Consider the following 16,661-nt stretch of genomic DNA (forward strand, 5'->3'; position numbering starts at 1 on the left):
TAGGAAAGGGAGCTATAGGGAGGCTAGGATATGGGGGTAAGCTGAGAGGTCTTCCTGCGGGATGCATATTGCAAGCTTTGCATAGTTGTGTATTCTCCTTCAATGAAAAGAAAGCTTGGACATAAGGTATTTCACTCCATTTGCCTTCCCTCTTACAGAAAAGATCAAGCTACAGGATAGTATTGTAATTTATACTTCCCTCAGGTGGCCATTTTTCCCCATCAGAGAGAGAATATTGGGGTCAGGCAGTAGTGCAGAAAAAAATGAGCCACCTCTTTTTCAGGGTTTGTGGGTCAAATTGGTCCCAATGGCTTAGGATGCATTTCAATGGTGAGCCTGTTGATGCCTGAGTGTTTCCCATCTGAAAGACGGAACTGCCCATGGTTTTGGTTTGTTTGTTTCTCCCCCTGCCCAAGAACCCACAACGGTCCCTGGACCCTGCTGATTGGAATAGTTGCGCTCACCGACGCAGCAGCAGAAACACTAGTTTTCCTCCTAGACCACAAGGAGGACTGAGGAAGGTCAGATTTAGTGGTCCTTACTGACGCATTCTCAAAAACCTCCACCCTTGCCTGTCCTCCTAGACCACAAAGAGGACTGAGAAAAATCAGATTTAGTGACCCTTACCACTGACACATTCTCGAAAACCTGTTAGAGTCCTAAGCATTCTCCTGTTAGTATTGAGACCTTACTCGAGTCAATACCCCAAAAATGAAGTGGAGGGCCATACCCTGAGGGAGGGAATGGATCTTCAGAGTTGGAAGAGTGGAGCCTTTTGTCTTCACTTATATGAATAGGAAGGATATAATTTCTGAGGCTTCCCATATCCTACCTTCAGGAATAGCTGTTGTTAGGCCTGTTTGTCTGAGGAGGGATCCTAAAATTCCAGATAGTCCCCACTATGACAGGGCTTTGGGCAAAAATTATGTCTTTCTGATTGGTGAGCCCAGGTGCCTAAAGAAGGTAACAGAGTCCTGGAGTATATAGTAGAAATCATTCTTATAGGAGAAACTAGAAAAGTACCAGAGACAGGGAGTGGTTTTTAGAAGCGGGACTAGCCTCAGAGAAGAGAGGCGAGAGGAAGTTTGTCTGACAGGCATTAGGACCCAGGAGGCAAGGGTCAGGACAGATAGGATAGATGGGCGAGTCTCGCTTCGGTGACATGACTTTGAGAGTTCTGCTCATGGCCACAGGGTCAACCAAATTGCTGTCAGGACCCCGGAGCTGAATGGCTTTCCTCTCTGTCAACTCTCGGCTCAGCCCAGAAGTACAGGAAAAGTGGAAACTGGTTCCAGGCAAACCAACGCTCTGAACTCCGAAGAGTCAGGGGTTATTAGAGAGCTCTTTCCCAGAAAGCCTGACATCCATGTCTTTAGTCCAGCAGCCACGTTAATCACTTTTAATGGGCTGAGAGATGCCTGATATTTAGCCCCCAAATTCTAAGGAAAAATAAGACAGAATAGCAAGCAAAAGGGTCCGATGGTACTCACTGCTTCGTGATTGTCCCATCTGGGTCACCAAAATGTGTCTGGAATTGGTTCCTTCCGGTGAGTTCTTGGTCTCGCTGACTTCAAGAATGAAGCCACAGACCCTTGCGATGAGTGTTACAGTTCTTGAACATGGTGTGTCTGGAGTTTGTTCCTTCAGATGTTCAGATATGTCCAGAGTTTCTTCCTTCTGGTGGGTTCGTGGTCTCGCTGACTTCAGGAGTAAAGCCACAGACCTTCACAGTGAGTGTTACAGCTCCTAAAGGTGGTGTGTCCAGAGTTGTTCATTCCTCCCAGTTGGTTCATGGTCTCACTGACTTCAGGAGTAAAGCTGCAGATCTTCACAGTGAGTGTTACAGCTCATAAAGGTAATGTGGACCCAAAGAGTGAGCAGCAGCAAGATTTATTTCAAAGAGCGAAAAAACAAAGCTTCCACAGTGTGGAAGGGGACCTGAGCATGTTGCTGCTGCTGGCTCAGGTGGCCAGCTTTTATTCCCTTATTTGGCCCTGCCCATGTCCTGCTGATTGGTCCGTTTTTACAGAGAGCTGATTGGTGCATTTACAAACCTTTAGCTAGACACAGAGTGCTGATTGGTGTGTTTTTACAGAGTGCTGATTGGTGCATTTACAAAGCTTTAGCTAGATGTAGCACTGATTGATGCGTTTACAATCCTTTAGCTAGACAGAAAAGTTCTCCAAGTCCCCACCCGACCCAGAAGCCCAGCCAGTTTCACCTGTCACTCCCACCTCAGCCTTGCCAGTAGATAGAGGTGTGTGCCACCACGCCTGGCTTATTTTTTTATTTTTTGTAGAGGTGGGGTCTTGCTTTTTTCCCTAGGCTGGTCTCAAACTTTTGGCCTCAAATGATCCTCTCATCTCAGCTTTCTAAATTGCTGGGATTACAGGTGTGAGCCTGTGAGCCACTGTGCATGGTGAGTGACCTGATTTTGTATTCCACAATGGAGAAGTGGAACAAAGATATTGGGAGTTTGTCTTATTATAGCAAAAAGCTTGAGTGTGAATATACAGTTCATATTAGTGACATTTGTGTACTTTGATGTGATAGTAAATTCACAGTTCATTGCAATTCTACTTCTAATTTTCATGCACATCAAAGAATAGAATGCTCAAATATCTTCATTTTCTCAGCTAATAACTCTGCTCTGCATAAATCACAATGCTGAGCACAACAAATCTGAGGATAAAAAGAATTTTAATTTCCACATACTTTAAAAATGCATATTCTTTTAACCTGCTAGTGTCATTTGTGCAGTTAGTTATGACTACTTAAGTACAGAGGACTGCTTTAAGTTGTAAAGGCTACAATGGGCCCTCAATAAGGTGGGACAGGTATGCATTACAAAGAAATTATTTTCTATTCACTTAGAACAAAGGCTTTGTTTTGACAGATTATGATTTAAGTTCTGGCTCTACTGTGTACTAGTTGTGGTTTTCTGTGAATTATTTAAACTCTATGGAGATTTAATGAAAAAAATAATACTTTCCCTAAGATTTTCTACTAAGTAATATAGGTAGAAGATATAACCTCGTGACTGGTACTTTATATGGCATTGGTGATTGTCATGATGCCAATTATTGTCATTAATTCTAACATCATGTAAATTATCTGCCATATTGAGTAAGTCTATTTCGACTAGGTTGTCAATTTTGGAATTAAGTAAGGGATTTTTTAAATGTAAACTTGCCTAGGTTCTTCAATTAAAATGTATGCCAACAAGTGGCTAGTAAATGTGTCAGTGTTGGGTGGGGCAGTACTTCTTCCCTACTCTTGATGTCTCCTTTCATGCAGAGATATCTTTAATAGTGGAATTCTCCTGGCCACTCTCTACCTCCTTGCACACTTTGCCCTATGGAGGATGTGTGATTTAATTTGAGGGGTGAGTTTGGTAGCAGGAACTGTGTATGCATATCTCCTCCACTTCTTCTCCTTGGACAGTGAGCTGCATGTAAGGAATACACATTTTCCTTTCTCCATCCACACTGTTCATCCTGTGGGGCAGCCCTGCAGGTAGGGAGGTCTAGTCAGGACCAGTACTGGTATGCTGGTGTGTGCATGTCTATCTTGTTCTGGGTGTCTATGTTAGGTAGCCCACTTGCCCATACATTTAAACCACATTTTTCACTTCTTATCTCGCTGATAGAAATTACACTTTTAGCAGTATTCACCCTTATGTGGGAGACAAATAACAGGTGATTAGTAATCAAAGATTCACATATTAAGGAAATTAGGACTTTTTCTTTTCTTTTCTTTTTCTGAGACAGAGTCTCTCTCTGTCGCCAGGCTGGAGTGCCGTGGCGCAATCTCAGCTCACTGCAACCTCTGCCTCCCAGGTTCAAGCGATTCTCTTGCCTCAGCCTCCCGAGTAGCTGGGACTGCAGGAGCATGCCACCACGCCCAGCTAATTTTTATATGTTTACTAGAGACGGGGTTTACTAGAGACCACGTTGGCCAGGATGGTTTCGATTTCCTGACCTTGTGATCCTCCCACCTTGGCCTCCCTAAGTGCTGGGATTACAGGTGTGAACCACTGTGCCTGGCTAGAAATTAGGACATTTTGAAAAAGCCATAGATGAGTGAGAAACCTTGGACTATGAAAGCATACCAGCGTTCATATTGAGAAACATATCATAGATGTTTCTTCCAATGGAAAGTACTTTATACCTCACCATGTGTCTCATGTAAAAGCAGTTAAAATCTCCAGCCATGGCAATCTTATGTTGCCATTTTGGCCACGGTTTAGAATTTACAAAGTTGACCCATAATTAATGATGTCTTTTGGTATTAACTATATTTCTTCTAAATAGGCACAACAAAAGTAAGCAAGCCGATAGGTGACTGAATTAGCTGTGGTTGCTATTTGTTTTCTATGTTATTTCTCTAATTTCTGTAAGATTCTCCAAGCTGGATAGTGTAAATCCCATTTTACAGATGTTGAAGCTAAGGCTTGAAATGGTTAAATAACTTTATTAAGGAAACAAGTGGATTTTCAAATCAGGATTTTTCAAAAACTCATACCTGACCTGTGTTGTTTTGCTATTTCCATGCTCATGTTCTTTCTATCATACTTTCTCTTTAGAATTAATATGATGTGAATTCAAATCCCATTCTATTTACATTTTTTGATTAGGGCATTGAATTTGTTTACATATCAATGACATTTTGTTTACTTTGCTCTGATAGTAACTTCAGAGTTAATTGTAATTCCAATTCTAATTTTTATACACATCAAAGAATAGAAATATAGAATACTCAAACATCTTAATTTTCTCAGCTAATAACTTTGCTTTGCACAGACTACAATGCTGAGCACAACAAATCGGGGATCAAAAGAATTTTAAATCCGACATACATTAAGAATTCACGTTGTTTTAACTTGCTAGTGTCATTCGTGCAGTTAGTAACATGACTACTTCAGTACAGAGAACTGTTTTAAGTTGTAAAGGCTACAGTGGGCCTTCAATAAGGTGGGACAGGTTTGCATGAGAGAGAAATTATTTTCCAAGGTGGTTGTCAAAAGAGGGATACAAACTAATGGTTCACAAATAGAAGCTGTGATGAATCTAGGATCTAAGGCTGCCCACATACATGGGGTGAATTTCTTAAAAGGAGTGTATAGGCTAAATACAACCATTGTTCTGAGTTCTAAATATACACTGCATTCAAGAAGTAATAAATACAAACAATATCCCTTTTATTTAGCGTTTTAGACCACTTTCATTTCTACTATCTTACAGAAAATGAATGAAAAATACCTCTTCAGATGTGGTGAAATATTTTGAAAAATGTGATAGGGAGAAATCTGATAGTTTTATCATTCTTTCTCTTATCAACTTTGCTATTCTCTTTAGGGTAGCCACCCCTGGGTAGGGTAGTCTTGAAAGCTAACGAAACAGGTTTATATCATGTTTGTTTTTCATACAACGAGTGTTTCCTTCCTTTGTAAATGTCTCTTGAGCCAGATACGTTGAACAGAAGCAGGGATACAGAAGAGTATAGCTCCCAAGAGGACAGGGAATGGCACAGTTTGGGTGCCTGCTCTCTCCTTAGTGACTGTGCAGCCCAAGACAAATTCCTTCTGTTCTCTGAAACTTGTTCCTCATCTGTAGAATGAAAGTAATGATATTACTTATTCAATATTTATGTAGTTATTATCAAGAATAAATGGAAGGCATCTAAAATCTCAAATACATTGCAATGACTTCAAAACATGTTGGATATTATGATGGTAGTTATTGGCTATATTGTTCAAAACTGCCTTTAAAACTGTTATGATTTATGAAGATTTTAAAGAAAACTAGAAAAATTCAGTACCTCTCAAAGTAATCATTAACTTTCATCAACTTATCATCATTGACATTGTTATTCATAATCCTTGATTAGGATTTATGTTTACCAACCACACTTAGATGTCTATATCTGAGTGTTTCTGTCTAACAGAGGAAGTATTTTCATGTGAATCAACTTCAAAGCTTTCCTTTTGCCTTTTCCCAAAATGTATAAGAAGGCTTGCCCAGAATATAAAGATGCTATTAAAGGCAACAAACCCTAGGGCAACCTTCCCTAACACAAATTTTTTGGCTCCTTTTCCTTGTTGGAATATAAATGACAGACCACGTTGTATTCTCACTTTAGCTTTGTCTCTTTTAGCTAGAAATTTGCATATGATGAGGAAACTTGCTAGAACTGTCTCATTTGTCCAAATCCCTTCAATTTAAAGATCAGAAAAGAAGGACTTGAGCACTAAGAGGCTTTGCCAAGGTTGTACAGCCAGTTAGTGAGGGAGCTGAGGTAAGACCCAAACCTTCCCGACTCTCAATCTAGTGCAGTTCCCACGAATTCCCTGATGCCTCTCAGCTGGCTTCCTAGCTGTCATCCTACTACCAGATTTGGCATAGGCACATTTTTGTTAAAACTAGACAAGCAAGAACAGAAGTATTGTCTTATTCACAACATTATTTACCACCCGACTCCTCTCTCTTCATACCATTGTCTGCTGGACATGAGCATAAATTAAGATGTAGGTCTTGAAGGTAGAGCTAACAGTTGCTCTTCCAAAAACTTAGAAATTAGGAATTTTAAGGATGCAAATATAGATGTTTGCTATGGCTCTGAGAAAGTTGCTGGTACATTAAGTTCGTCTCTATACCAGATAAGATCCCTTAGAGCCTTTACTCTCTTCATCCCATTTCCTTGCTATAAGAGCCTTTCAAATCATTGATCAGGACAAATTCTCCCAGCTAAATATAATTAATTAAAAGAAATCTCCATCCATGTATTTAGAACAAATGCATACAAAATTTATCTTTGGGCTTTGGATCCTAATGTATTTTTAAAGGCAAAATAATTTATGGAAGGAACCTGTGGTCACCCTAGCCTTAAACATTTTTGGGGGAGAAATTTTAGATTTTTTTAGTCTGTGTAGAAATTAATTAGAAAAATCAGATTGTTCAAAGTTAATGAAAATGCTGCATTCAACTTTTAAATATTGGTATGTGTTGCTGAATTTCCTCAGCCAAGTTTCTGAGTCAAAGCTGAAGGACATCATTTCCCAGTTCTGGTTTATAAAGTCTCTTCCTCATAAGGTCTTCCTTCAAGAAGAGCAGCTACTCAAAATGAGAAGGGAGGAATATTGAGTAGAAATGATGACTCATTACCGCAACTCCCAGCAATAGAATAATCCATTCACACAGTTCTGTTTTTCTACGCCCTTATGCTAATGAATCACTGCTGTTTACTGTTTGGGGAGTAGCACCTTTCAACACCTGTAAGAAAGAAATGCTGTTTGAAAGCTTGCTTCTTGGGTAGAATGCCAAGATGTTTTGTGACATGCCCTACTTCCAAAAAACCTCATAGCAGAAAGGACTACATTCATATTCTCAACTTGCAGACTTCTCTTAGGTAGGGACTGCATTCCTCCTGGAAGTGTCTTACTGGAGTGAGGTCTGAACATGTTTGCATCACTGTCACTGTCAAGCAAAACAGACTTGATTGGGAATGAATTTGTTCATATTGACTCTGGCTTTTTAAAAGTAAACAAGTACAAATAAGGAGGTATAATATTAATGGTTTTGCATCTTAAGGAGAATTTATTATGTTTTGAATTTATTCTCTTGGCAATATTTGTCATTCATTCTTTGAACTTTCCAAGAAGTTTTGGATCAAGATAGTAGTTATCTCTTTCCTAATTAATCTTGGTCTGCAAATTTAGACATCTGAAATCAATTCTAGAAGCATCCAATTAAAAAAACAAGTTGAAAAATAAGTAATTTGATCTCTGGGAATATCACATCTAGCTATATTAACCTAGAATTGCTCCGTTTTGCTCAGATATTTCGTTCCATCATTTTGATTCTTATGATTGCATAATAAAGAATAACAAACTCTGTCAGGTTTTTTGGAACTGATGAATAAGGTATTTTGCTTCCCAATTTGACAGTTTATCAGAGTATGGTAATTCACTATGATGTTTCTCTAAGAATGTGTATTATTATCTCAATAGAGTTTTTGGTAAGGAAACAGGTCATCAGCATATAGATATTTGAGAATTCTATCTATAAGAAAGTAAATGTGAGTGAAGAGATTCTCTTTGAGAGTAGGATGTGATGTCCTCCAAAGAAATAAATAAGTTTGGAATACAAAATTGGAGACCAGCATAAAAACTGTGTTTCCTTAATGATGCTGGGGCAGTAGTAGCCCTAGAATCCTGACCTCCCAAGTCTCACAACTGGCAGAAAGAATTCTCCTAGAGAAAGGCAGTATCTCCAGTTGGACAGGAAAAAGAGCAAATAATACAATGAAATTGTTGGGGATTAAATGGAGGCTCAAATAATCTCTTTCCTTTTAGGTTGAGTACATTTGTTTTCTAAACAAATGGAAAATTGGTCTTAGAAATATATTTTAGCTAGTGTGGTGTTTCTACTTAGAAACCATTTTAAGCCTAGTCATAGTTCCAGATGGCCATGATGGAAATCATTCAACTCAATCAAGAGGTAAAACTAAAATATACAGCTGGGCCTTTGCCAGGATTTTGTTGTATTCTGGAAATACTGAATGTTTTAGGATCTCTAATATGTGTGGATGTGGTGCAGGGATATAGTACCTAGGCACGATGTGGCTATACTATGACAAAAACAGCTACATCAATGCCTGGTCACTCATAAAGCAAGTGGATCTATGGCAATGTAATATAGTCTCCATTTGTGTTCCTTGGGTGAACTCATTCTATCAGGGACTGCTGGCAAAAACAACAACAAAAGATTGACATACTGACCATTTCCATAGAGCTGTTCTTATTGTTGTAGTCCTGGTGCTCTGGGGATGATGAAAATAGATGGATTTTTGTGGCCCTTGTTCACTGGAAATCCATGATAACACAGCTGCACATCTAAAATTATAGTAATTTAAATCTTTCTTCCTCGTATGCTAGCCAGAGACTAATTCATGTCTAAATTTTCCATAATCACTTGTCATTCCAAGACACATTAAAGCATCTAATGTATTATCTTTGAGGATTACATCCGGTCAAAATATAATGTTCCTCCATAGTTTGGACTTTGATTTTTTAATTGAATTTAATATTTATTTAAAATATATACACACCAGGTATTTGCCAGGTACTGGCAACCTAGGTTTCAGTATTGTGAGCACACTAGAGCATAGGAGTGAGTGAGAATGAGAGGCTTTTTGTCTTTAAAATAGATGTCTTCCTAGGAGTTGCAGGGGCACACAAAATCTCTGAAATATGTTTGAGCTACAGGATCCTTAGTTTTGTAAACTATGGAATATTATTTCCTTTCTCGTGGCCTCATGTTTCTTTGTAAAATGGAGATAATACTTATATTACATGGTGCTTCTTAAGATTAAATTTAATGTATATAAAGCACCCAGTGCCATAACTGACAGAGAAAATGCTCAGTGGAAGGCATTTATTTCCATTGTTACTCTGGTTTTTGAGAGGAACATGCTTTTCTAGAAACTGTAGGATGTTTTTAATACAGCATCAAGATTTTGATTTGTGTGGAACTCTTCGGGCTTATTAACTCAGATTTGAAAAATCTGTGGGGCATAAAGGACCCTGACACCAACCCAAATCCCTCACAAAAAGAAACGGAGATAACAGAGATTCCTCCTGAGTACAGGAGATACAAAAAGATACGTTTCCCTTTGGGAAAATCAAGTGAAGGAGTGCTACTGATAGCATATGGAAGAGTGACACAGCTTTTGCCCCTGGTCCAGCTCCTAGGGACTCATGCATCATTCATTCAGTCCACAAATCTTTGTTGTATGAATGCTACCTACTAGGCATGGTTCCTGGTGCTGAGAATAAAGAAGTAAAAAGGCAATTGATAAAAATCACGGTCCTCATGAAACTTACACTGTAGTGAAGGGAGAAATAAACATGGTAAATAAATAATAATGTATGAAGCTGAGCACCGTGGCTCACACCTGTAATCCCAGCACTTTGGGAGGCTGAGGCAGTGGATCACTTCAGCACAGGAGTTTGAAATCAGCCTGGGCAACATAGCGAAACCCCTCTCTCTACCAAAAATATAAAAAAATTAGCCGGACATTGTGGTGGGGCCTGTGGTCTCAGCTAATTGGGCGGCTGAGGTGGGAGAATTACTTGAGCTTGGGGAGGCAGAGGCTGCAGTGAGCCAAGATCACCCCACTGCACTTCACCCTGGGCAACAGAGTGAGATCCTGTTTCAATGATAATTAGTAACAATAAATATAATAATATATGAGGTATATTAAATCTGATAAGTAGGGTAAGCATAAAGGAAGATTGTTGGAAGAGATGATAGGAAACCAGATCACATAGGACATTGTGGACCCTCATAAGGATTTGGCTGTTCCTCTCAATCATGTGGGGAGCCATTGAAAGGAGCAGATGGGCATTATGCTTTGACTTCATTTGTTTAAGTCTTCCACTAACTACTGTATGGAAACAGACTTAGGGGAGGATGCATAATGGGATGAAGAGCAGAAGTAGGAAGATCTCTTAGAAAGATACTGTTTCTTCTATAGAAGAAATTGTCCACCCACAATAGCCAAGGTATCTTGATATTGTATTATAGGTCAGACCATTTGATGTCAGTAGAAAATCTATTCTGCCTGAGCAAAAGGGCTGTGACTTACAGGAAACATTGAGAATTAAAATTAGATTCTTGAGGATCATGATGTTTGGAGTCCTGGAGGACCATGCTGAGCAACAGTGGTTGCAATGCCTCAGTGCTAAACAGCCACTGAAGCAGTCTTAGAGAGCAAGCAGTGGAACAGGTGGGTAGTGGTGACTTTGTGGGAAAGCAGAGCCTGCAGTGTGACTGCAGCCATGGGCTGTGCACCGTCTGGCCCAGGCTGTGGGTGAAGCTCGGATCACCATCCTGTTTGGATGTATCAGTGTGGTTAGTTTTAGAGTAAATGGAAACAGACATTGTGGCAGGATGGTATTTTGTAGTTTTAACAAGTAATTTGGGTATCTAGAATGTGCAGCATCAGTTGCCTTAGGGAAGGAATGTTATAGCAGAAGCTCAGTGGAATTTCAAAAGCCCTGTACCCCAGGAGACCTCAGGGCAGAGACAGTGTTTGGTAAGTCAGAACAAGTCTTGCAACTCCCTGAGGATTGTGTGTGTGTGTGTGTGTGTGTGTGTGTGTGTGTGGTGTGTGTGGTGGCCGCGGAAGTGAGAAGAGGCAAAGGTGAAGCAAGAGGGGCCACAGTGTGGGTATCTGAGAAAGGGGAGACCTGTTCCCTGCTCCACAGGAGTGTGCTGAGATTTAACAGGCATGACCAAACCCTAGAGAAATTTGGGGAGGAATGTGATAGCAGAAGGTGTGTCTCTTTTGCCAGATAGAGCCCAGGGAGATTAGAAGACCCCTGAGAGGAAAGGCTTGAGCAGTGTGTTTGGGCTGACTGGGGGTGGGAATAGGGAGAGACCCAGAGAAAGGGAGAGACAGAGACCAAAAGGAAGGAAGGAAAGAAGGAAGGAAGGAAGGAAGGAAGGAAGGAAGGAAGGAAGGAAGGAAGGAAGGAAGAGAGGAGAAGGGAAGGAGAGTGAGAAAGGGAGAGGGACAGAGAGGGAGTGAGGAGGGTAGTGAGAGAGGAACTCAGAGGGAGAGGGAGAGATTGTGAGTAGAGGCCTGCTGAGCTCTGAGCCCTGCTCTGCCTCCTGGATAGAGAAAAGAAAGAATGCATCTGTGACTTTGTGGGACAATCACTGAAGTCAGGGATGGTGGGCATCTCAGAAAGTGGTAATTAAGGGTCTGATGTCTCCCATCTCCCAGAACATAGATCCTCCTCCTCCCTCTGCCCTGGCCTGTCTGCCCTGCCCCACTTTCCCCCGAAAAAAGGAATCCCATGGAGCTGGGAAGAGTGTCAGATTTCCCCCTCTATTCTCAGGTAAAAGGACTTCACCTAGACACAGAATTTCTTATATAATTCAATTTTTGAATTCAGACTTAAATTTGTGATACATTTGTAGAACTCAATTGCATTTTAACCCTCAGGACTAATAAATACGGAAATAGAAAATATCTTTTTCCTAACTATTCACATTTACTACATAGAACCCCAAACCAGCCACTACTAAAAATAAACAAACAAAACTGGGTGGATGCTTCAGGCAGAGATTTCATAGATTATAATTTAGGCTTTGATATTTTTTTCCCAGAAGTGAGAAAAGAGGGTGGGGGTTGTGGAAGAAAGTGTGATTCTGTTAAAGGTAGAAAGCACATGTATAAGGGAAGACTGGAGATGCTAGTGGGGAAGGGTAAAATGAGGGCACAAAGTGCCCCAAATGAGGGAGGAGCAGGTGGAGTAGGAAATAGAGGGGTGTGAGAACGGAGTGTGGGGGTCAATGAGGGAATCCGTGCTGCTTGCGCCCTGCTTCTCTGGTGGGGCAGGAGTCAGGTCATCTGCTGAAAACTGGGGTGAGGTGGGAAGAAGGGGGCTGGCACAAGCAGGATTGGGATCTAAGGAAAACAGAAAGATCAGAACAGCTGCTCTACAAAATGGGTTATGAAATGAACAAGGAAGGAAAGTTTGCCAAGCACCAGTGAAAGCACCTTTGAAATAAGATAACATGAATTTATAATATGCCAAGGTAGCTATTCGTCTCTTTAGTTCTGTATTCAACTTTTGTCTTATTCTAATAGCAGAAATTTGACCTGTTTTTGTAACACAAGAAAACTATTGGGTCACTTTAATTTTTCTTTTTAAATATACTTTTTTGTTCTACAAGAACTTTGCAACCAAATTATCTGTTTTAATTCATTGAAAAATCATAAGATACAGGCCTTAGGAATATTTCATATAGTGTTATTAGCTTTGGTATGTAATAAATTTATATAGACCACATTTATCTTTTAAATATATTTGCCATGTTATCTTTGTGAGCAGTACTGTGAGGACCTGGGGAGAAATGGAAGGGAAGAGAAGGGAAAAGGAGAGGAGGAGAGGAGCAGGGAGGAGAAGGAAATAAAAGGAAGGAAAGGAAAAAGAGAAGTAGCGTGGCCCAGGAGTTTGAGGCATCCTCCTCACAACTGTCCTCTTGTATATACACATAAGCATGAGACAGTTGAAATGTCTGAGGAGTCCTTGGGTAAAGGAACCTTTTCAATTTTCTGCTGCCCTGCCTTAAAAAAATACCTATAGCCTACAAAGAGATATTGACCAAAAATAGTACATGTGGTTCCAAAGCAAGAGAAGAGCTTTTGGAATTGGGTGGACCTGAGGCAGGCACATAATAGGCTTTCAATAAACAACTATTGTTGCTAATTTATAACAGTTTGTCAAGCTGGCTTTTCTAAGGCCAGCTCTTGTATAGCAGGAGTTGAGGCCAAGAAGAGGACTAGGAAGTGAGGGTTCTATAGTTAGTATCCTGGGTGCCACTCATGACATATCAGGGGCTGATCCCCCCTATTATAAGAGGCAGAGGCAGAGGCATTAGTCAAAGCTGTGGGAAGAGAAAGGTGGGTGGATGTTGTTTGTCTGTTTTTAGTAGTGACTGATTTGGGGTTCTATGTAGCACAAGGCAAAATGACAAAGAGAGTAGAATTGATCATTGATGGATTTTTATTGCAACAACTTCCCTCTGTCAAAAATTTTTTTTTAAAAAAAGAGCAAAAAGAGGAAAAAACCCTTTCACATTAATACACTCTTTTCTTCTATTTATATCATATTCACAGAATCCACATACCTCTTGTCTTTCCATTCTTCAGTTTCTTGCGAAACTTATTTAACAGCAACTGAGATCATGTTGTAGCACCGTACAACCAGGGCAGTCTTGTCTGTGGGGTGCACTGCCTTTCTTCCTCACCTGGCTCAGTACATTGCTTTTGTCTTGTTTTGAGCAGATTCTGGGAAAATGTAGCTTATCTTCACCCACATTTTTAAGGGTGGAGGAAGAGAGCCTTAATACCATTTTGTACTTCCTCCTTGAATCATAATCATCTTAGCTAGATAGACAGCCTAGTAGGAGTCCAGCATTCCCTGCTTGTTCATACTCGCCCTTCCTCTGCTCACTTCACAGCCCTGCCAAGTCCTAGTCTCTATGCAGCTTGCTTTCATTTGAAGGCAAAAAAAACACTGAAGCTCAGCCTTTAGCAGCTCATGACTATACAGAGGAAGCCTTTGGTCTGGCAAATCCATCACTCTCATTTGGTTTCCAAAAGTCACTGGAACCTTGACAGAGAAGACTTAAAGCCTCTAGAAGCTATACTGGAAACAAAACAGTTTTTCACTAGAGCTGTTGCTGTTTTATGAAGAGCATTCTGCAAAATGCCTTATGAGTACATACTAATAATGTCTAGTATGTAAATAAATTATACCTAATAAATTCTCAGAGGGCTGTTAGCTTCTCTCTAATCCAATCAAAGCTGCCTGATTCTTGCACTGGGCACAAATGATGATGTTCCTTGGAAATTTTCCAGGTAAAATAGTTTGGAATTATGGAAAGGGCTCTCATGGCATTAATAATGCCTCCCATTAATTCTGGGAGCTTCTCATTTCATAGCCACCTCTCATTTGACTAATTTTAAAAAGATATTTTTTTCTGAAAATATATTGAATGTAAGTCACATATCTAAATAACAGCACATAAAAATGCTTATGATATAGTAAGTGCAAGAAAAATAAAATTATATGCCATGATTACAACTATTTAAAATTCTGCATGGATAAGGACAAGGATTAGAAGAAAGCATGACAGGTCACCTGGGACATTGAAGGTTGCCAATAAATATTGATGAGTGAATTCTCAATGTACATAAATAACAATTACTGGATTTGATAAAATTATTCAGTTTTCTCTTGAATATTACATTTATAAAATGAGTAAGTTCCTAAAAACTGGTTAGATGCAGTTGTTATTAAAACACTCTATCTTCTTTATAACTTCCAATTTTTCTCTATCTGAAGTTTTCCCTACCTGTTGATCTTATAGTCATTCTCTGGTACTAGAAAAGCAGATCTGAGCATTCTAAAAATGTCAGGGTTGTTCAGCTGATGCAAAGCAAAATATTATCAGATTATATCAGAATATAGCAGATATTATCACTGTCTTCTCAAATCCAACACTGGCCAATAGGATGGCCTAATTCAGGTGATGTGGTTTCAAAGACTGTTGGTCCCCCAGCTACCTACCAGTAATTTAATAGTGATGCTTCAATTTAGACTTCTATAGATACATTCCATTTTTAAGGTTTGGTCCCCAATAAATACAAATACCTGGAGAAATAATACTTCAAAGAATCTTGGTTATTTGTATCTGAGCTTAAAAAAGATTACTGGATTTTTTTTTTTTTTTTTTTTTTTTTGTGAGACGGAGTCTTGCTTACAGGCATGTGCCACCACACCTAGCTAATTTTTGCATTTTTAGTAGAGACAGGGTTTCACCATGTTGGCCAGGATGGTCTTGATCTCCTGACCTTGTGATCCGCCTCCCTTGGTCTCCCAAAGTGCTGGGATTACAGGAGTGAGCCACCACGCCCAGCCAAAAAAGATTACTGGATACTTTCTAGACATTAAGTTTTGGTCAGGGAGATGAAAGATGACATAAGAATTCTGAAGGGGGAGGTGGGTTTCGGAGATGGCTTGTTCAAGGGAAAAAGTGGCAAAGAAAGGAGAGATGACCAAAGTGCCATTTGCCTGCCCAGAGCTGATCCTTCTGTCTAAGGGTGAGTGTCATGACTGAGGGGCAGCTGGGACTGCTTAAGTGGCTGCCACTATATTCAGTCATTGAAAGCATGCTCCGGGAATTCAGGTTTGGCTGCAGCTGTGACAGTGGGTGAGGGCAATCATATCCAAGCTGCCATGTGGTCTGTGAGATTCCTGAGTCAATAGTGAGTCTATTTAGGGATTAGGACCTTGCATTCTCATACGAGATTTAGTAGTCATAATACACAGCCAGGATCATGGCACATTTAACAGGTATTAAGAGAGTACTAGGAGAATATGAAGATCAAATGTCAGGGCTTTTAATATGGTTTTTTTGTTTGTTTGCTCGCTTTTGCTGTAGATTGTGAATATATAGATTCCAACCTTTCACTCTTGATAACAGAAAAAAAATCTTTGATATCAATTACAAGTTTTTGCCTGCGTTATTAACCAGCCTCCAAGCAATCCAAATTGTTTCCTTCTAGTAATTGTTCAGCTGTACTATTTTAAAAAATTAAATGAACATTTTCTGTTGAACAGAAACAATCTGTTGGGTTTACTTGAAAGAAATTCGTACTTAGGGCCAGGCACAGTGGCTCACACCTGTAATCCCAGCACTTCGGGAGGCCAAGGCAGGCGGATCATGAAGTCAAGAGATCGAGACCATCCTGGCCAACATGGTGAAACCCCGTCTCTACTAAAAACACAAAAATTACCTGGATGTGGTGGCGCGCTTGTAGTCCCAGCTACTCGGGACAGGCTGAGGCAAGAGAATTGCTTGAACCCGGGAGGCAGAGGTTGCCGTGAGCCAAGATTGCACCACTGCACTCCAGCCTGGCAACAGAGCAGGATTCCGTCTCAGAAAAAAAAAAAAAGAAGAAGAAAAAGAAATTCATACTTACCTGCTTAATTAATGATATAACTGGCCCTTGTTTGAAGTAATCAAGAGTGAGACCTGGGGAGAGCTCATGCATCAAGGATCCTGTAAGAGTTGTGTTCC

At 40.1% G+C, this 16,661-nt stretch overlaps 1 long non-coding RNA gene across 1 annotated transcript; it reads right to left on the minus strand.

Annotated features, from left to right (window-relative positions):
* Window positions 1-5,183: 5,183 nt before the first annotated feature.
* LOC124900741 (uncharacterized) lies at window positions 5,184-8,893 on the minus strand. The gene is made up of 2 exons (XR_007058204.1): window positions 8,780-8,893; window positions 5,184-5,609 (listed from the first exon to the last, which is right to left on the minus strand). It is a non-coding gene; the product is annotated as an uncharacterized LOC124900741 (long non-coding RNA).
* Between the last annotated feature and the right edge of the window lie 7,768 nt (window positions 8,894-16,661).

Source organism: Homo sapiens, chromosome 4 (assembly GCF_000001405.40).
Source record: "Homo sapiens chromosome 4, GRCh38.p14 Primary Assembly".
In the NCBI taxonomy this organism is placed as follows: Eukaryota; Metazoa; Chordata; class Mammalia; order Primates; family Hominidae; genus Homo; species Homo sapiens.